Genomic DNA, 22,558 nt, shown 5'->3' on the forward strand with positions numbered 1-22,558 from the left:
TTTGACCCAGCAATCCCATTACTGGGTATATACCCAAAGGATTATAAATCATGCTGCTATAAAGACACATGCACATGTATGTTTACTGCAGCACTATTCACAATAGCAGACTTGGAACCAAGCCAAATGTCCAACAATGATAGAATGGATTAAGAAAATGTGGAAAATTAGTTTTTAATGCTTAAAAAAACTGCTAGAAGCTAAGTTATATACCTATAACTATTTATTTTATTAAAAAATTACCCTTTCTCAACATTTTGTTCAAAGAAGGATTTTTACAAAACGGCAGTGTCCTCCCTTACTAAATATTTAAAGCAATATAGCATACATGAAAAAAGAATCTTTTCTGTTTCATTGGTTATTTGAACTATCCCATAAGAAGTACACTTTTCTGGGAGCCTTGTATCTTACATACACACATACACACACACACACACACACACACACACGCACACACACAAACACCAAAACCAAGGCAAATTACAAAAAGAGTATAAAATCTTTAACTTAATTAACACCTATTTAATTTTGTTTTGTTCTCCATGAAAATGAGAGAAATGACAAATGCACACAAATAGAAATAAACGGTCTTATTTATTTTTCCAACCTTTATTTTAGTGTCAGGGATATATGTACAGGTTTGTTACATGGGTGAGTTGTGTGTCACTGAGGTTTGGTGTATGAATGATCCAGTCACCCAAGTAGTGAGCATGGTACCTGAGATAATGTTAGTTTTAACACAGTCCTTTTCCTCCTCAGGCAAAATTCCCACAGGGAGCAATGATGAGACTTACACCTAAGTTAAAAATCCCTTCATGACATAAATTCTGAACATTTATTCTACACGCAGACACAATATTAGATGCTTTTTAGAATTGGAAATGAAGAACAAAAAGAGGTGAAAACATGGAAAGCAAAAATGTCCCAGCTTGCCTTCAAGGAGCTTATTCTACTATGGAAGACTATACACATATTAAAGGCTGAAAAAAAAGGAAAGAAATTCACAAATAAATATGATCTGATTATAGCTATGCACCATTACTATTTGATGAAACCACATTAATTCAGCTTTCACTAATTTCAAATTTATAATTGTTGGGGCATGGTAGAGATTGAAATTCAGCTTTTACTCACTATGAATAAAACTAAATGAACTGAAGCTACAAACAACTCAGGGCTTTCAAGAACCCCTTACTGCCTTTCTAAAAATGAGAAACTCAGAAATGTACACCATATTAACAGAATTTATTAATTTCAGGTATGTAAGTCAAGAAAAATACATTTTTCCTATACTTTCATTTGTAACAAAGTGGGCTGAATTATTTATTCAAATTAAGCTACTACAGTTCCCTCCCATTTACCTAAACATCTAAAATGCTAATGCTGCTAATAAAATAGCAGTAGTAGTAGAGGCAGTGCAGTGTTAATGCTAATGGTAGTGTCCATTCATTGATTTCTTAAGCCTCTGTGCCAATCTCTATTATCATTTCCAACCTCGCCCCTATGCACTTTTCACTGCAGGGCTGAGTTCTCTACACAAATCCTGCTTTGTATGCCTTTGAATCCTTTATCAGGTTGGAATAATCTTTCCAATTTTGTCTAGCTAACTCCTATTCAACCTTTGAAACTCAGCTCAGGTTTCATATCCTCGGGGAAACCCCTAATCCCCTGGTTCTCAGGGTATCTACAGCACTAGGGAATAGGTGATAGCACTGTAATGTTAGGCTAGATCTCCTTTTCTACCTCCACTACTTATCTGTAAATCACTTGTAGTCAGGAATCACATCTTACCTTATTATGCATCCAAACAGCTATCATTAGAAGAGACAGTCAATATATTACTTATTGAATGAATGAGTCAGGCACTATACCAGGAATTTAATTATGGTAAAACAAATACTTTAAAATTTTACTGCTAAAAATAGCTTGAGAGATGGAATATAACATGATCAAGGTCTCATGGTTACTGGGTGATGGAATCAGAAATAAATCCAGGCCTGCTGGGTTTCAGGCCAGGTGACCCTACGCTTTCAACTCAAAGTGTTATCTTAGATTCTTAGGTCTTAGATTCTTGGATGGGATCTCTTCCAGTTTTAGAATAAAGCCACTTCTCTCTGGCCAACTGAGGAGTCAATTTTAAGCATGCAAACTGGGATTTCAGTTAAAAAATAAAAATTATTTTAGTGTTACAAATTGTCAGTGAAGGACTTTCTCAAAGCTTTAATCATATAAATAGTTTGACATCTCTAAGGTAGCAGTTCTCAATTTCATATTGTGGATTATTTCACGAGAGGAAAAAAGAGTGACCAACTCCATCTATACCCACTATGTCACTGAAAAGAAACCTCATCATGACTCATGGGAAGAATGGCATCTGAAAAAATACTTAAGAAATGTCACAAGTAAATTATTAATCCATGCCATAAAACAGACTACAGATACTGTCATATTATAAACCTTAGAATTTCAAGAAACCAGCTGGAAGACCACCCAGAGAATCCTAGAAGACCATCAGTGGTCTATGGGGACCATACTTTGAGAACTACCGTTATAAGAAATGAAACTGCTTCCTCCTCAGGAACTTCATCTTTTTGTTGGGGGAACACACTGTCCTTCAAGCCAAAAACATCAAAGTATTAAGACCTCTAAATTCTTCTAAAATACTGTCATAACCCCAAACTACCTTGTTCATGGGATGTAGTCATGTAGTTGTAAATGCAGATCTGCTTATCTATTGTTGGTGTATAGGAATGCTTGTGATTTTTGCACATTGATTTTCTATCCTGAGACTGTGGAAGTTGCTTATCAGCTTAAGGAGTTTTGGGGCTAAGACACTGGGGTTTTCTAAATACAGAATCATGTCATCTGCAAACAGAGACAATATGACTTCCTCTCTTCCTATTTGAATATCCTTTTTTCTTTCTCTTGCCTGATTGCCCTGGCCAGAGCTTCCAATATTTTCACATGTGCTTACTGGTCATTCACATATATTCTTTTATAAAGTGTCTATACAAGTTTTTTTACCTGTTTATCATTGGATTCTTTGTCACATTATTACTGATTAATAAAGAGTACTGTATATATTCTAAAGGCAAATTCTTTGTCAGATATATGCATCACAAATATTTTTTGCCTGTAAGCTGCCTTTTCATTTTCTTGACAGTATCTTTCAGAGTGCAAGTTTTTTAATGTTGGTGAAGTTCAATGTATCACTTTTTCTTTTGTTGTTCTTCATGCTTTCTATGTTCTATCTAAGAAGTCTGTCTAACTGAGGTCATGATATTTGGTGAAAGGGGCATCCTTGACTTGTTCTCATTCTTAAGGTGAAGGTTTTCTCCTACACATTTTTCTAGAAGTTTAATAATTTTAGCTATTTTAATATTTGCACATGGCACGAAGAAAGGATTGAGATTGTTTTTCCACATGGATACCCAGTTGCTTCAGCACCATTTGTTATAAATAACCTTTCCCCATTAAATTATCTAACCTGTCAAACTGCAGAAATTCAACTCAACATATGCTTGTCTTTATATCTGCATTTCTTATTCTGTTCCATTGATGTATATGTATGTCTATCTTTATGTCATTACCACACTGCTTGTTTTTTTTTGTTTGTTTGTTTGTTTTGAGATGGAGTCTTACTCTGCTGCCCAGGCTGGAGTGCAGTGGCACGATCTCAGCTCACTGCAACCTCCGCCTGCCAGATTCAAGTGATAATCTCACCTCAGCCTTCCAAGCAGCTGGGACCACAGCTGTACACCACCACGCCAGGCTAATATTTGTATTTTTAGTAGAGAGGAAGTTTCACCATGTTGGCCAGGCTGGTCTCAAACTCCTGACCTCAAGTAATCCACCCACCTCGGCCTCCTAAAGTGCTGGGATTACAGGCGTGAGCCACCGCTCTCAGCCCATACTGCTTTACTATAGGTTTACAGTGAGTTTTAAAACAAACATCTAACTGTTCTTTTCTAAAAGTGTTTTGACTTTCTAAGTCCTTTGCATTTCCACATTAATTTTAGAATTAGCTGTCAATATTTAGAAAACAGCCTGCTGGCCTTTTAATAGAGGCTGCAATGAATCTGTAGAACAATTTGGGGAAAAATGATGCCCAACAATATTGAGCTTTCTAATTCCTGAAAAATTACTCCTCTCAATATAGTTAAGGCTTCTTAAACTTCATTTAGCAATGTTTTATAATTTTTTGTGTACAGGTATTATATACAATTTGTTAAATTTACCCATAGATACCTTATGTTTTTGGTACTAAATTCTGATGTCACTGCCGGTATATAAAAATACAATTACAATTGAATTTTGTCGATTAACATTGTATCTTTGACCTTGCTAAATTCATTTATTAATTCTAGAAAAACTTCTTTGGTAAATTGTATAGGATTTTCTAGCTATATGATTATGTTTCCTGCAACTAAAGTCAGTTTTACTTTTTTCTTTTTATTTGCTATGGCTTTTTTCTTATTGTTCCTTATGCAATGTGTAGGGCATCTGATACAAAATGGTCAAGATACTTGGTGAAAGGAGCATCCTTGCCTTGTTCTCATTCTTAAGGTGAAGGCATTCAGTCTTGAGCTTTACTAAGTAGGTTTGTATTGGTAGAGGTACTGGTATGGCAATCCTGCAACCATTTCTTATGTATTAGAGCACTGAACAAATAAGTAAGAATATTAGGGTTGTTGGTAATCAAGTTCTTAGTATGCAAGAAAGGAGAATAACATACAAAATAAGCAAGAATTGGACTGTGGGAAAAGTGATGGGGAAACAGGAATTAAAGATGGCCCATACAAACAACTATTTTAAGGAATTTTGCTATTAAGGGTAGCAGCTATAGAAAGAAGGTTTTTAAAAAAGGAGTTTTCAGATGGGAGAAATAACAGCATGTCTTTATTCTGATAAGAATAATCTATTTTTAATTTTTTTAAGGAAAATCCATACTATTTTCCATATGGCTGTACTAATTTATATTCCCACCACTAGTGTGCAAAGGTTCTCTTTTCTCCACATCCTCTCAAACACTTCATATCTGTCATCTTTTTGACGACAGCCATTCTAACATATGCAAAGTCATATCTCATTGTGGTTTTAATTTGCATTTCTCTGATGATTTGTGATGTTCAGTAATTTTTCATATATGTGTTGGCCATTTCTATGTCTTATTTTGAGATATGTCTATATACAGTCTTTGCCCATTTTTTTTTTTACACTGTCCTAATATCAAATCTTTATTCCATTAACAATCAAACTTTTACATCATCGCCAAGGCTTTTTGTTCACTTAAGATTTGGTAGTCTTTGGACTAGACTCTGGAATAGACAAAGAGCATCAGTGGAAAAATGCAAAATCCAAATAAAGTTTGGATTTTAGTTAATAGTAAAGTGTATTATTTTCTTACTATTGAGTTCCTTATAGATTCTGAATATTAATCCCTTATCAGATATATGGCTTGCGAATATTTTCTCTCATTTTGTAAGTTGTCTCTCTACTCTTTTTTTTTTTTTTTTTTTTTTTTTGGCAGAGGCTTTTTAGTTTGATGTAATCCCATTCATCTATTTTCACTTCTGTTGCCTATGCTTTTGGGTTCATATCCAAAAAATCATTGCCCAGATCAATGTCATGGAGCTTTCCTCCTGTGTTTTCTTCTAGTAGTTTTACAGTTTCAGATCTCACATTTAACTCTTTAATCCATTTTGAGTTGATTTTTGCATATGAAATAAGAGTCTAATTTCATTCTTTTATATGTGAATATCCAGTTGTCTCAACACCATTTAAAACAGAACTACCATATGATCCATCAATCTCATTATTGGGTACATATTCAAAAGAAGTAAACTTAGTATGTTTAAGAGGTAGCATTACTCCTATGTTCACTGCAGTATTATTCACAATAGCCAAGATGGAATCAACCTAGGAGTCCATCAGTGGGTAAACGGATAAAGAAAATGTGCTATATACAATGGATTGTTATTCAGCCTTAAAAAGGTAGGAAGTTCTGTCATTTTTGACAACATGGATGAATCTAGAGGATATTATGTTAAGTGAAATAAGCCAGGCATGGAAAGACAAATGCCACATGATCTCATATGTGGAATCTAAAACGTTTGACCTCACGGAAGTAGAGAGTAGAATGATGGTTACCAGGAGCTGAGGGGGAGGGAGGGGTTATAGAAGGGTTGGGGAGGTTTTGGCCAAAGGATACAAAACTTCAGTTACACAGGAAAACATACAAGAGAACTGTACAGCATAGTGACTATAGTTAATAACAAATGTATTCTCGCAAATTGCTAAGAGTGCATATGTCTTCTCACTACAAAAAAATTAATATGTGAAGTAATACATATATTAATTAGCTCAATTTAGCCCTTCCACAATGTACACGTGTTTCCAAACATAGTGTACATGACAAATATATACAATTGTTACTTGTCAATTAAAACAATTTTTTAAAAAATCAGCTTAGAAAGAAAATGAGAAGAAAAGAAGGATGCCAAGAGTTCAGCCACCGATCTGCTTCCAACCCTGAGACTTCTGGTGCTGGATCTCATTTATGTGGATCCTTTAAAAGATAACCTTCATTATTCAGGGATGCTCCAAGGGGCCTCTGTCCCACACAATCAGCCTTACTCAAACAGTCAACACAAGTTACACTCATTCACAGGGATAAAAACAGGAAGTTAGGTCTACATGTGACAGCATGAGTCACTTCTCCTTTCCACAACTCAACTTTTACCTTCACAAAATAAGGGGTATGGATTTTCTAGGTCCCCTTTTATTTTCCTAAGTTCTTGTATCAAATGAAACTATAATGACATTTCACGACTTGCCTGCCACTAATTTTGCTGCCCGCTGGCAACCAAACTCACAGTTGCGCCAACTCAGAGTTTAAGTGACTGTAAGAGCAGGGCCTTGGTTAAAGTAGTCTTTGAGTATACACAAGTAGCTTCATTGTTTATAGCTTAACTCAGAAAGAAAACGAAAACAAACAAGCAAAAAACCCCTTCACTTTTTACTATATTTACCTCCTGATGGAATTATTTCTACCCAATTCTAATCCTTATAAAATAAGGACAATATTGATAATATACTCTTAAAGCAGCCCCTTACAATTAAAATACAGATCAATTTGCATAATAGTTACATAATAATATGGAAAAATTCATGTTATGTATCCATCAATAAAATAAGAACCAAAAGAATAACCACAATAAGACTAATTACTTGACAGTAAGATAAATATTTGGTACCCTCTTTTTAAGCAGCAGAATGTTCTGGGGAAAATGAAATCATATATGAAACCCCTTACCATGAACAGGTAAAACAGAGCTCCTTTAATTCAAGTACTCCAAGTATGGCAAGTCTAGGATTCCACCCACAAGGACATCATTATCTCCTGAGTAAAATCTCCTGAAGTACTTCTATAAAAGACAGTTTGAAAGCCACTGCAGCAGATTATCTAGGTAAGCTATAGCTTAAGAAACAGGATACTCAGAGCCACCTTGCCAGTCAGTCCACACACATGGTTTAGCAAACACTGCTTTTTCTGCAGTGTGTGTGTGTGTGTGTGTGTGTGTGTGTGTAAAAAGAAGATACTTCCATTTGAAATACCTATAAACCACAAAATCATCTGGGATCATGGACATTTTCCCAAGAATATTTGCATAACACAATTAACACAAAATAACACAAGAAGTTAATACAGAAGCATTGAAAGGCAAAGAAAAAAAAAACCCATAGTTTGGTTTTCCATTTAGGAAATTTTCATGGGGGCGGGCAGGGAAAGAGAGGGAGGCACAATAATCATTTGAACCTATAAATTAAATTACAATTACTAAAATGTTCTTGGTCTCCACTGCAGTATTCAGTAGAAAATAAACCATGCCACATATATTTGATATTAATTTTGTTTTAAAGCCTCACGGAAGACAGTTTTCTGATTTTGCATGTTGATAATACAAGGTCAATGAGTAGGCATGTTACATTTCAAAAGCTACTTTCTCACATTCCCCAGTGTTCAAATACTTAGAAACTTGATGTTAAGTTTATATATTGGCTAATTATTCTCCGAATAATCTAGTAAAGAGTAGAAATGTAATAATGCAGGAGAGAAAAGTGCTGATGTCCTTGTGTGTATAAGAGGGTATGGGATTTTTTTTTTTTTTTTTTTTTTTTGAGATGGAGTCTCGCTCTGTAGCCCAGGCTGGAGTGCAGTGGCATGATCTCGACTCACTGCAAGCTCCGCCTCCCAGGTTCATGCCATTCTCCTGACTCAGCCTCCTGAGTAGCTGGGACTACAGGGGCCTGCCGCCATGCCCAGCTAATTTTTTGCATTTTTAATAGAGATGGAGTTTTGCTGTGTTAGTCAGGATAGGATGGTCTCGAACTCCTGACCTCGTGATCCACCCGCCTCGGCCTCCCAAAGTGCTGGGATTACAGGCGTGAGCCACTGCGCCCAGCCTGAGGGTATGGGAGTTTAAGAACAAGTGGAGAGGTTGGGGAATAGACAGTTAAGCTACAATATGGGGAGGGAAGACAGGTATGTGGGCATAAGTACAGGAAAAGAGCAGATGAAGTAGAAACATATGAAAGGCCTGTTATATTTCCTCATACTTCCTTAGAGAGGTAGGAAGCACAGCTATAAGCTGAGAATCAGGATAGGAAATAACTTGTTAGAAATTCAAAGAAAAAGAAAAAGGTATAACACATCATCCAGGATACTGGGAGAGTGAAATAAATAGGGAAAAATTTATGTATAATACATATTTATTAAATATATATTTATCAAATGTATGTATGTATATATATTTATTAAATATATGTATTTATACATATATCACAGGACAGTATTAACAACTCATTAAAACTCTAAAGTTAGTGGTCAGGAATTACTGTAAGCATGTTGTATTTATCTCTAGCAATATTCAGCTGCATTGGTACAGTTTAAAAGCTGCTAAAGAGCAGAATTTAACCAGTGTTGAGTATTGCCAGCTGAATAAGACAAATGAAATGAGGCCAAGGGTACTAAGTACATATGCAAAGGAGTAATTATAACTATTGAGCATAAACCTTTAAATTAGGTGACAGACAATGGGAGGTGGTGATTGGAGAGTAGAATACTCTAAATTGAAGTTACACAGGAGTTGCAGTCATTGTAAACAACAAGGTCTAGGGTACAATCATGGAATTAATGGCTGAAATAAATTGGAGGACAGTGCCATTGGAGAGAAAATGAAAAACTGAAAGTCCAGGATACTAGAAGGATCATGCACATGGCTACTGAAATGATCAAGAATTGTAACAGGAGTATTATAGACAAAAGCACAATGAGCCAGACAATAAAATCTTTTGAGAAATCAGAGGGAATCACCTAGGTATTTGGCAGTATTGTCTGATAGAATGATATATTTAGTTACAAGGAGGTGCACAAAAAGCTCTTTTGAAGAGAGTCGGTGATAGAAGATTCGGAATATATTTTCTGAAATGGGATAATTAACTGGTGGAAAGACTATGTCATTAAGTAGTTATGAGTTTTTAAAAAGCCCATTTAAAAATGAGATTGCTGTAATTTATTTATGTTGTGATATTCATTCTGAAATTTAAATTAAAATTAAAGAAAAGCATGAAACTTGTTTATCAGGTGACAAGAGCTAAGGACTGTTGCAGATACATAGCTATACCAAGTTACATTGAAAGGTTTTATAGGAATGTGCTAAATACAATTTCCAGATTATGGCATGACTACCTTTCAGTAGCTTTGCAAAAAATCCAGTCATACAAACAGTAGCATTTTGTATTGACTGCGTTTCTCAGTGGATGACTGTCAATGTAATTAGACACCTTTGACTCAGACACTCTTATTTAGCTAAATTTAAAGCAATAACAAAACAAAACCTCTACATAAATACGGTTCTTAGAAAATGCCCCATTATTACCAACAGACATTACCTTAGTCCTAAAGTCATGAGAAATAAATCCATAGACTACACCTTACCCTAAACTCCTGTACTGGACACTACACCAGAGGCTGGGAATGCAAAGATGACTAAAATGTGGTCCTTACCTTAGGTAGATCATAGTTTAATGGGCAAGACAGACCAGAAAAGGAGGGGTGAGTAGAAGAGTATGAAAGAGGATAAGGACATTTCAGATAGAACAGGCAATGCAGAAGGGGGTAAAAAGGTATGTGTGATATGAGAGTGAATAGAGTGAGAGAGGAAAAAGGAAGAGGGAGAAGAGAGAGGAAGACAGGTAGAGAGAAGGGAGGTAAAAAGGGAGGGAGGAGAGTTGAGAATAATTTCTTGTTTTTGGTGGTTTTGTTTTTAGAGACAGAGTCTTACTCTGATGCCCAGGCTAGAGTGCAGTGGCACAATCATAGCTCACTGCAGCCACAAACACCTGAGCTCAAGCGATCCTCCTGCCTAGGCCTTCTTAGTAGCTGGGACTATAGGCATGTGCCACTGGGCCCAGCTTTTTTGTTTTGTTTTGCCTTTTTTTTTTTGTGGTATAGATGGGGTCTCACAATGTTGCCCAGGCTGGTCTCCAACTCCCAGCCTCAAGAGATTCTCCTACCTGTTCTCAAGGGCATTGTCGAAAACAACAGCAATTGGTGGCAAGTAATCAGGAATACCAAGTGTGGCTAACAGAATAGCAACCAAAAATTTAAAATGGAAATCTGCAGAAGATACCTGATGGGGTTCAAGAAATACTACCCCAAAATATGGCACTTCAGCATTTGAGAAAACAGTATGGTGAGGTGCAAGAAACACAACTCCAAAATAAGGCATCTTGAAAATTGAGAAAATAGCAGAGGCAGAAAGTCCACTCTCATTTCTCCTTCACCCTTCATCCCTAAAGCAGGCTATAAAACCTAAAAGGGTCACTCTGATGGCCGGGTGCAGTGGTTCATGCCTGTAATCCCAGCACTTTGGGAGGCCGAAGCAGGCGGATCACCAGGTCAGGAGATCAAGACCATCCTGTCTAACACGGTGAAACCCCATCTACTAAAAATACAAAAAAAAAAAAAAAAAAAAAAAAATTAGCCGGGCGTGGTGATGGGCGCCTGTACTCCCAGCTCCTCGGGAGGCTGAGGCAGTAGAATGGCATGAACCCAGGAGGCAGAGCTTGCAGTGAGCTGAGGTCACGCCACTGCACTCCAGCCTGGGCAACAGAGCAAGACTCCGTCTCAAAAAAAAAAAAAAAAAAAGTCACTCTGACTTTCTCCCTCCCTTCTCCCCTGAAGACCATCAGGTGACAGGTGAGCTCGCCTATACCCAGAGAGAGGGAATGAAGGCACTGAAATGCCAAGAAAAATCTGAACAAACAGGACTTGCTAAGTTCCCTTCAGTTTATGTGTCACATAAAATTTATATTAAATAAATTTGCATGCCTTTCTATTGTTAATCTGTCTTTTGTTATAGGGGTCTCAGTCATGAACCTTGCAATGACTGAGAAATCTTCTCCCCCCTGTAAGCTGTAGTAGGAAGGTCTCTCTTACCTTCTCCTACCCTTCTCCCCTGAAGCAGGCCACAAAAGAATTCTCTGGCCTTTCTCTGAAGTAGGTCTTAAGGCCCTCATGTACCCCACACACAGAGGCAAGGAATGTCGCACAGGGATACAGAGAAGACTGAACAAAAAGGTCTTGCTGAAATCTCTCCAGTTTATTACTATTAGATCATATCTCTCTTTATCCAATCAGACTTCTGCACAAATGTCCACTCTTCATTTAATGTAGCATAAAAATAGTTTTTCCAGTTTCTTTAGGTTTTAATTTCTGAAGGCTCCTGTGTCATGTAAAATTTATATGAAATAAATGTGTATGCTTTTCCTTTGTTAGTCTATCTTTTAATACAAATATCTCAGCCATGAACCTTGCAATAAGTGAGGAAAAGATAAATCTTTTCTGCCACTATGTAGCCATTGGGGGCTTTGAAAAGTTCCAATATATTCCTGAGAATCTGAACAGATTACACATGCACCAGGTTACATGCATGCTTAGGAAAGACCAGAAAAGTCCTCAGCTGCCTACTTATCAATTGTAGACCACGAGATCCTGTACACCCTGAGCAGACTATGAAGTGAAACCACAGGCAGACTTGTAAACTGCCTGAACTTTGAATGTGTGCCCTAATATACATACAGATTTCTCAGCAAAAGTGGAAGCCTTATGGGTTCAAAATGTTTGAACCCATAAGAAAACTTTTAATCACTGGCTGACCATTAAAACTTGCTGCCCCAGGGGTAATCACTAAAAAGCCATGTTTAAGCATAATAGCAACTATTAAATTAAAAAAAATTATTAAATTAAATTTAGAAAAAAACTTGAGCAGAGACTTCAGTGGTTATATACAGAAAGGCAGACAGATTTTATGGAATTAGTAATTTCACTAAATAAACAAGAATATGAGAAACAACATCCCTAGAGGTGACAGAGATTCTGAGAGTTGCTAAAATATATTATCTAAAGGTTCCATGCTCATGGAGGGTAGAATCAGTATTGTGAAAATGACCATACTGCCAAAAGCAATCTACTAATTCAATGCAATTCCCATCAAAATACCATCATCATTCTTCACAGAACTAGAAAAAACAATCCTAAATTTCATATGGAACCAAAAAGAAGGCTGCATAGACAAAGGGAGACTAAGCAAAATGAACAAATCTGGTGGCAACACAGTACCCAACTTCAAATTATACTATTAATACATGGCTGTATTCACCAAAACAGCAGGGTACTGGTATAAAAATGGCACATAGACCCATGCAATAGCATAGAGAGCCCAGAAATAAAGCCAAATACAGCCAACTGATCTTCGACAAAACAAACAAAAACATAAAGTGGGGAAAGGACACCCTATTCAACAAATGGTGCTGGGATAATTGGCAAGCTACACGTAGAAGAATGAAACTGGATCCTTATCTCTTACCTTATACAAAAATCAACTCAAGATGGATCAAAGACTTAAATCTAAGACCTGAAACCATAAAGATTCTAGAGGATAACCTTGGAAAAAACTCTTCTTAGACACTGACTTAGGGAAAGACTTCATGACCAAAAACCCAAAAGCAAATGCAACAAAAACAAAGGTAAATAGATGGGACTTAATTAAGCCAAAAAGCTTCTGCACAGCAAAAGAAATAATCAGCAGAGTAAACAGACAACACACAGAATGGGAGAAAATATTAGCAAACTCTGCATATAACAAAGGACTAATATCCAGAATCTACAAGGAACTCAAACAAATCAGCAAGAAAAATACAAATAATCTCATCAAAAAATGGGCTAAAAACATGAATAGATAATTCTCAAAAGAATATATACAAATGATCAACAAACATATGAAAAAAATGTTCAACATCACTAATGATCAGGGGAATGCAAATCAAAACCACAATGAGATACCATGCCACTTTACTCCTTCTAGAATGGCCATAATCAAAAAATCAAAAAGTAATAGATGCTGTCGTGGATGTGGTGAAAAGGGAACACTTTTACACTGCTGGTGGGAATGTAAACTGTACAACCACTATGGAAAACAGTGTGGAGATTCCTTAAAGAACTGAAAGTAGATCTACCATTTGATCTAGCAATCCCACTCCTGGGTATCTACCCAGAGGAAAATAAGTCATTATATGAAAAAGATACTTGCATATGCATGTTTATAGCAGCACAATTCACAATTGCAAAAATATGAAACCAGTGCCAATGCTCATCAATCAATGAGTGGATAAAGAAAATGTATAGGTACATCATGGAATACTCCTCAGCCATAAAAAGAAACAAAATAATGCAGCATTTGCATTTGCATTATTTGCATTTGCAGCAACCTGGGTGGAACTGGAGACCATTATTCTATGTGAAGTAACTCAGGAATGAAAAACCAAACATTGTATGTTTTCACTTACAAGTGGGAGCTAAGCTATGAAGACACAAAGGCATGAGAATGACACAGTGGACTTTGGGGACATGGAGGGAAGGCTGGGATGGGGTGAGGGATAAAAGAGTATACATTGGGGAAAGTGTACACTGCGTGGGTGATTGGGTATACCAAAATATCAGAAATCATCACTAAATAACTTATCCATGTAAGCAAACATTACAAGTTTCCCCCAAACCAATTGAAATTAAAAAAAAGTTCCAGTCTTAAACAACAACAAAATTACCAGATATGCAAAGAAAGAGAAAAAATCTACAGCCCACACACAGGAAAAAAGGCAATCAATAAAAAGTGTCTCAGAGAGAGCTCAGATGTTGGACTTAGGAGACAAAGGCTTTAAATAAGGTATTATAAACATAGAATTGAAAGATGTATTTGAGTGTATTTCACAAAGACCTAAAACAAATACAATTGTCTTTCTAAAACGTAAAGAATATATTAATAACATGAGATATACCTTAGGTAAACATAGAAGTTCACCCTAAAAATAAAAGATATTGATTTAAATTGTTTAAATGATTTCTTTGATAATGTTTTTCCTTTTTAAAATCCTTCTTATTATGGACTCAATCTTTTATCAATTCTTCCTAGAGAGAAATCAGATAATGGTACCATATTTTATAATTTGAAGACAAAGTTTATATCAGTCTTTTATCTCATTTCTAGACATATGTAAAAGTACATTAAATTAAATAAAGCAATGTTTCCAGCAATGTTCACTTAGAAAAATCAAGATTTTTTTCTTAAAAAAGAATTGGAACATAGAAGGTATTGTGATGACACAAAACCCAACAGAGCCTGACAAAACTAACTAAACTAAAAAAACAAAAAACAAAAAAACAAAACAAAAAAAACCTAATAGAGCCTGACAAAGTGAAATGCTAAACTAAGCTTTAGGCTTCTACCTTGAGGAGGACTCAGAGTTGAGAGGATGGCAGTATTTATTTTGCTGTTCAGTGTAACTCATAGTTTTTCAGTAGTCATGTGTCTCATTGAGACAAAACAAAGAATGCTTGGACAAATGATAACCACATATTTTGCAGGGCCTGGAATATAAAGTTTAATTATTGGGTCTGTGAACAGAGGCAGTTACTTTGAAAACCTGGATTTGTGAAAGACTGCCATTTCTGCAGACAAACTGCTGGGAAAGCCACAGTGTGAGGGGGAAAATGTCACTTCAGTCAGTAGGATCAAAAACAAGAAAAAAGAAAAATCTAGGACAAAGAATTGCTTAAGTAAACACAGCAAAGGCAGTTCCAGAGAGAACTAACATATCAATGTGACGGTTACTACGTGAAAATGTTGACAATTTTAGTTATACACATGAAACAATGCCAATTAGAGAGTGATATAAGTTAGTTATCTAAGTTAAAAGTATCTTTTTAGACACACGAATGTGAGAAAATTATGGGGTGCTTATTTTTTTAACTTTAATGTGCATTAGTGGATTATTTTGATAGAAAACAGATTCCATTTTAAACTCCTTATTATTGGAAAGAGTAAGACAAGAGATGAAGCAAGATGAAACTAAAATAATCCATGTGAGATCAGAGCCTCCAAACCTAAAACAAACCCTCACACCAGACTCTTAGTCCTAGAAATTATGCACATTTTTGGCAGTTTAGCAATTGATTTCTTATAGTCAAGGTTTTGTACCTTAGTTTCCTCATCTGGAAAACAGAAACACTAATAACTATAATTTATATTCACTATTTAAACTCTTATTTATACATTCAACAAATATATACTGAACACCTTCTATATTCTAAGGAATATGCTATGCATACAATTGCTGTAAAGATTAAAATAATGGATGCAAAGTACTTAGTACAGTGTCTGGCATAAAATACTGTTATATTATACAGAGTGATTTTCAGTTTGGGGATACACCCTGGCGAGGCCCTTATCAGAAGTACCTGTGGGGCTCTTTGAAATCTTACATACTGGTTTTAAGATTCCAACCCTTCCTACTAAAAGGAGCGTTCAGCTATTGTTGAGAAACACTGCACTACAGTATAACTTCAGCTCCCTTTCCAGGTTCATTATGATTCATTATCCCTTCCCCTGCCCCATCATTTTTAGCTCTAGCCAAACTCACTACGCATTATTTACTAGTCTATGAAGTTGCTCATATGAACACCTATCTGCTCCTTTTGGCTTTGAACGTTTTCCCTCTCCACTTACCCATCTTTCCATGTGAAATCTTATTCATCCAGTAAGATCTACCCGAATTGCAAGTGTTTTATAAAGCTGTTTTTGATGCTTTAAGTAGGTCTGATCGCTCTCTTGGTTGACTATTTAAGCACTTTGTACCTTTTTCTTTATGACACTTATATTTATAATATAGGTGTAAGATAGGAAGCATCAGGAGGATAAGATCTGAGTCTTACTAATCTTTGCTTTCCTTTCCTTCATAGTATTTTCTACATAGCATAGAACCAAGTTTTGGTATACAGTACTGGAATATACTCTATTCAGAAATTAGGGATTGTTCCCTGATGAACATTGGTGCAAAAATCCTCAATAAAGTACTGGCAAATCGAATCCAAAAGCACATCAAAAAGCTTATCCACCATGATCAAGTCAGCTTCATCCTTGGGATGCAAGGTTGGCTCAACATATGCAAATCAATAAATGTAATTCATCACATAAACAGAACTAAAGACAAAAACCATATGATTATTTCAATAGATGCAGAAAAGGCCTTTGATAAAATTCAACATCCTTTCATGTTAAAAACTCCCAATAAACTAGGAATTGAAGGAATATACCTCAAAATAATAAGAGCCATATATAAGAAACCCACAGCCAATATCATACTGAATGGGCAAAAGCTGGAAGCATTCCCCAGAAAACCAGCACAAGACAAGGATGCCCTCTCTAATCACTCCTATTCAACATTGTATTGGAAGTTATGGTCAGGGCAATCAGGCAAGAGAAAGAAATAAAGCATATTCAAATAGGGAGAGAGGAAGTCAAATTATCTTTGTTTGCAGATGACATAATCCTACATCTAAAAAAGCCCATCGTCTCAGTTCAAAAGCTTCTTAAACTGATAAGCAACTTCAGCAAATTCTCAGGTTATAAAATATTGATTTTAAAATGAAAAAATCACTAGTATTCCTATACAACAACAACAGGCAAGCAGAGAGCCAAATCATAAATGAACACCCATTCACAATTGCCACAAAAAGAATAAAATACCTGGGAATATAGCTAACAAGGGAAGTGAAGGATCTCTTTGAGGAGAACTATCAACCACTGCTCAAGGAAATTACAGAGGACATAAACAAATGGAATAACATTCCATGCTCATAGATAGGAAGAATCAATATCGTGAAAATGGCCATAGTACCCAAAGTAATTTATGAATTCAATGCTATTCCCATTAAACTACCATTGACATTCTTTACAGAATTAGAAAAAAAACTATTTTAAAATTCATATGGAACCAAAAAAGAGCCCGTATAGCCAAGACAATCCTAAGCAAAAAGAACAAAGCTGAAGGCATCATGCTACCTGACTTCAAACTATATTACAAGGATACAGTAACCAAAACAGCAAGGTACTGGCACAAAAACAGATGCATAGACTAATGGAACAGAATAGAGATCTCAGAAATAAGACCACACACCCTACAACCATCTGATATTTGACAAAACTGACAAAAACAAGCAATGGGGAAAAGATTCCCTATTTAATAAATGGTGCTGGGAGAACTGGCTGGCCATATGCAGAAAACTGAAACTGTACCCTTCCCTTACACCTTATATAAAAATTAATTCAAGATGGATTAAAAACTTAACTGTAAAACCCAAAACTATACTAGATGAAAATCTAAGCAATAGCATTCTGGACACAGGCATGGGCAAAGATTTCATGACAAAACCACCAAAAGCAGCTTCAACAAAAGCCAAAATTGACAAATGGGATCTAATTAAACTAAAGAGCTTCTGTACTGCAAAGGAAACTATCATCAGAGTGAACAGACAACCTAACCTACAGAATGGGAGAAAATTTTGCAATCTATCCATGAGATAAAGGTCTAATATCCAGAGTCTACAAGGAACTTGAACAAATTTACAAGAAAAAAATACACAACCCCATTAAAAAGTGGGCAAAGGACGTGAACAGACACTTCTGAAAAGAAGACATTCTTGTGGCAAACAAACATATGAAAAAAGGATCAACATCACTGATCATTAGAGAAGTGTAAATCAAAACCACAATGAGATACTATCTCATGCCAGTCAGAATGGTGATTATTAAAATGTCAAGAAACAAGATGCTGCCAAGGCTATGGAGAAATAGGAACGCTTTAACACTGTTGGTGGGGATGTAAATTAGTTTGACCATAGTGGAAGACAGCATGGCAATTCCTCAAAGATCAAGAAGCAGAAACACCATTTGACCCAGCAATGCCATTACTGGGTATATACTCAAAGGAATATAAATCATTCAATTATAAAGATACATGCATGTTTATGTTCACTGCAGCACTACTCACAATAGCAAAGATATGGAATCAATCCAAATGCCCATCAATTATACACTGGATAAAGAAAATGTGGTACATATACACCATGGAATACTATGCTGCCATAAAAAGGAATAAGATCATGTCCTTTGCAGGGACATAGATGGAGCTGCAAGCCGTTATCCTCAGCAAACTAATGTAGGAAGAGCTAACCAAAAACTGCATGTTCTCATTTATAAGTGGGAGCCAAACGATGAGAACACGTAGAAACACTGTGGGGAACAACACATGGGGCCTTTTAGAGGGGGCAGGGAGAGGGAGAGCATCAGGAAGAATAGCTAATGCATGCTGGGCTTAATACCTAGCTGATGGGTTGATCTGTGCAGCAAACCACCATGGCACAAGTTTACCTATGTAACAAACCTGCACGTCCTGCACATGTACACCGGAACTTAAAATAAAAGTTGAAGAAACAAACAAAAAAAGAAATTAGGGATTGTTTATGCTTTTAAAAACAATTTCTTACAATGTAGATTGATAATCTTTATTATAAGCTTTTGCAATATGTGTATAGTTCTAAAATCCATTATGACTATATATATCAATATCAGACTAATATTTTATGTGATACTTATGAATAACATAATTCTAGTCATGATATCTTTGAAAATGATACCATTGTTCTGAGCTGTAAATTCAGAGTTACACCCCAAAATCAATTGTGGTACAGCCAGTTTTTTATCCATAAGCTGTTTTTTTTTTTTTTTTTTTTTGGCAAAGACTCAAATTCTAATTGAAAGGTATTAAATTGGGTGATGTGTTATATGAACACTTACACACTAAAACACACACTATTAAAATTAGTGTTATTTAATATCCAAATTTTCTTGATATTAGACATTATCCAGTATCAATTCACTTTTAAACACAAAGTAAACAAATTTTTATATGAATATACACCTTATCTAGTATTTACACTGGCGTCTGATATGGCAAAGGATACAGATGCCTCTTTTAGGTGAATTATTTCAATTCAGTCCATAATAAAGTTGTTGTAATACTGTTGGGAAAAGTTATTACATTCATCTTAGAAAGTAATTTACAAAGTAACACAAATAACATTTGAAAAAGTTGAAATAATAAAAATTATAAATCTACACTGTACTAAATTCTAGTTTTCAAGGCATAAATCCAGAGCATTATAAATATCATAAAATTATAATTCTGAGACACTAACAAATATTACAGCCAAGACACACTAAATGGAGCATCAAAGCGGATCAGCCTTCTAAAGAGTACACTGTAGGGGTGAGGAGCCAAGATGGCCGAATAGGAACAGCTCCGGTCTACAGCTCCCAGCGTGAGCGACGCAGAAGACGGGTGATTTCTGCATTTCCATCTGAGGTACCGGGTGCATCTCACTAGGGAGTGCCAGACAGTGGGCGCAGGCCAGTGGGTGCGCGCACCATGCGCAAGCCGAAGCAGGGCGAGGCATTGCCTCACCTGGGAAGCGCGAGGGGTCAGGAAGTTCCCTTTCCGAGTCAAAGAAAGGGGTGACGGACGCACCTGGAAAATCGGGTCACTCCCACCCGAATATTGCGCTTTTCACACCGGCTTAAAAAGCGGCGAACCATGAGATTATATCTCACACCTGGCTTGGAGGGTCCTACGCCCACGGAGTCTCCCTGATTGCTAGCACAGCAGTCTGAGATCAAACTGCAAGGCGGCAGCGAGGCTGGGGGAGGGGCGCCTGCCATTGCCCAGGCTTGCTTAGGTAAACAAAGCAGAAAGGAAACTCGAACTGGGTGGAGCCCACCACAGCTCAAGGAGACCTGCCTGCCTCTGTAGGCTCCACCTCTGGGGGCAGGGCACAGACAAACAAAAAGACAGCAGTAACCTCTGCAGACTTAAGTGTCCCTGTCTGACAGCTTTGAAGAGAGCAGTGGTTCTCCCAGCACGCAGCTGGAGATCTGAGAACGGGCAGACTGCCTCCTCAAGTGGGTCCCTGACCCCTGACCCCCGAGCAGCCTAACTGGGAGGCACCCCCCAGCAGGGGCACACTGACACCTCACACGGCAGGGTATTCCAACAGACCTGCAGCTGAGGGTCCTGTCTGTTAGAAGGAAAACTAACAAACAGAAAGGACATCCACACCGAAAACCCATCTGTACATCACCATCATCAAAGACCAAAAGTACATAAAACCACAAAGATGGGGAAAAAACAGAACAGAAACTGGAAACTCTAAAATGCAGAGCGTCTCTCCTCCTCCAAAGGAACGCAGCTCCTCACCAGCAACGGAACAAAGCTGGACGGAGAATGACTTTGACGAGCTGAGAGAAGAAGGCTTCAGACGATCAAATTACTCTGAGCTATGGGAGGACATTCAAACCAAAGGCAAAGAAGTTGAAAACTTTGAAAAAAATTTAGAAGAATGTATAACTAGAATAACCAATACAGAGAAGTGCTTAAAGGAGCTGATGGAGCTGAAAACCAAGGCTCGAGAACTACGTGAAGAATGCAGAAGCCTCAGGAGCTGATGTGATCAACTGGAAGAAAGGGTATCAGCAATGGAAGATGAAATGAATGAAATGAAGCGAGAAGGGAAGGTTAGAGAAAAAAGAGTAAAAAGAAATGAGCAAAGCCTCCAAGAAATATGGGACTATGTGAAAAGACCAAATCTACGTCTGATTGGTGTACCTGAAAGTGACAGGGAGAATGGAACCAAGTTGGAAAACACTCTGCAGGATATTATCCAGGAGAACTTCCCCAATCTAGCAAGGCAGGCCAACGTTCAGATTCAGGAAATACAGAGAACGCCACAAAGATACTCCTCAAGAAGAGCAACTCCAAGACACATAATTGTCAGATTCACCAAAGTTGAAATGAAGGAAAAAATGTTAAGGGCAGCCAGAGAGAAAGGTCGGGTTACCCTCAAAGGGAAGCCCATCAGACTAACAGCGGATCTCTTGGCAGAAACCCTACAAGCCAGAAGAGAATGGGGGCCAATATTCAACATTCTTAAAGAAAAGAATTTTCAACCCAGAATTTCATATCCAGCCAAACTAAGCTTCATAAGTGAAGGAGAAATAAAATACTTCACAGACAAGCAAATGCTGAGAGATTTTGTCACCACTAGGCCTGCCCTAAAAGAGCTCCTGAAGGAAGCGCTAAACATGGAAAGGAACAACTGGTACCAGCCGCTGCAAAATCATGCCAAAATGTAAAGACCATCGAGACTAGGAAGAAACTGCATCAACTAATGAGCAAAATCACCAGCTAACATCATAATGACAGGATCAAATTCACACATAACAATATTAACTTTAAATGTAAATGGACTAAATGCTCCAATTAAAAGACACAGACTGGCAAATTGGATAAAGAGTCAAGACCCATCAGTGTGCTGTATTCAGGAAACCCATCTTACGTGCAGAGATACACAGAGGCTCAAAATAAAAGGATGGAGGAAGATCTACCAAGCAAATGGAAAACAAAAAAAGGCAGGGGTTGCAATCCTAGTCTCTGATAAAACAGACTTTAAACCAACAAAGATCAAAAGAGACAAAGAAGGCCATTACATAATGGTAAAGGGATCAATTCAACAAGAAGAGCTAACTATCCTAAATATATATGCACCCAATACAGGAGCACGCAGATTCATAAAGCAAGTCCTGAGTGACCTACAAAGAGACTTAGACTCCCACACATTAATAATGGGAGACTTTAACACCCCACTGTCAACATTAGACAGATCAACGAGACAGAAAGTCAACAAGGATACCCAGGAATTGAACTCAGCTCTGCACCAAGTGGACCTAATAGACATCTACAGAACTCTCCACCCCAAAACAACAGAATATACATTTTTTTCAGCACCACACCACACCTATTCCAAAATTGACCACATACTGGGAAGTAAAGCTCTCCTCAGCAAATGTAAAAGAACAGAAATTATAACAAACTATCTCTCAGACCACAGTGCAATCAAACTAGAATTCAGGATTAAGAATCTCACTCAAAGCCGCTCAACTATATGGAAACTGAACAACCTGCTCCTGAATGACTACTGGGTACATAACGAAATGAAGGCAGAAATAAAGATGTTCTTTGAAACCAACGAGAACAAAGACACAAC

General features: G+C 37.0%; 1 protein-coding gene across 29 annotated transcripts in view, besides 2 other annotated features; it reads right to left on the reverse strand.

The window, feature by feature from the left end:
- Window positions 1–22,558, reverse strand: part of SUPT3H (SPT3 homolog, SAGA and STAGA complex component) — a 568,878-nt gene that overhangs the window by 233,665 nt on the left and 312,655 nt on the right. The gene's annotated exons all lie outside the window — the stretch shown is intronic.
- Window positions 19,386–20,046: an enhancer, noted in NCBI's record as "NANOG-H3K27ac-H3K4me1 hESC enhancer chr6:45029844-45030504 (GRCh37/hg19 assembly coordinates)". NCBI's record gives its function as "activates a minimal SCP1, AML or CMV promoter by ChIP-STARR-seq in naive H9 embryonic stem cells {active_cell/tissue: H9 hESC(naive)}" and the evidence as "EXISTENCE:reporter gene assay evidence [ECO:0000049][PMID:30033119]".
- Window positions 20,047–20,707: an enhancer, noted in NCBI's record as "NANOG-H3K27ac-H3K4me1 hESC enhancer chr6:45030505-45031165 (GRCh37/hg19 assembly coordinates)". NCBI's record gives its function as "activates a minimal SCP1, AML or CMV promoter by ChIP-STARR-seq in naive H9 embryonic stem cells {active_cell/tissue: H9 hESC(naive)}" and the evidence as "EXISTENCE:reporter gene assay evidence [ECO:0000049][PMID:30033119]".

This window comes from Homo sapiens, chromosome 6, assembly GCF_000001405.40.
Source record: "Homo sapiens chromosome 6, GRCh38.p14 Primary Assembly".
NCBI lineage: Eukaryota > Metazoa > Chordata > Mammalia > Primates > Hominidae > Homo > Homo sapiens.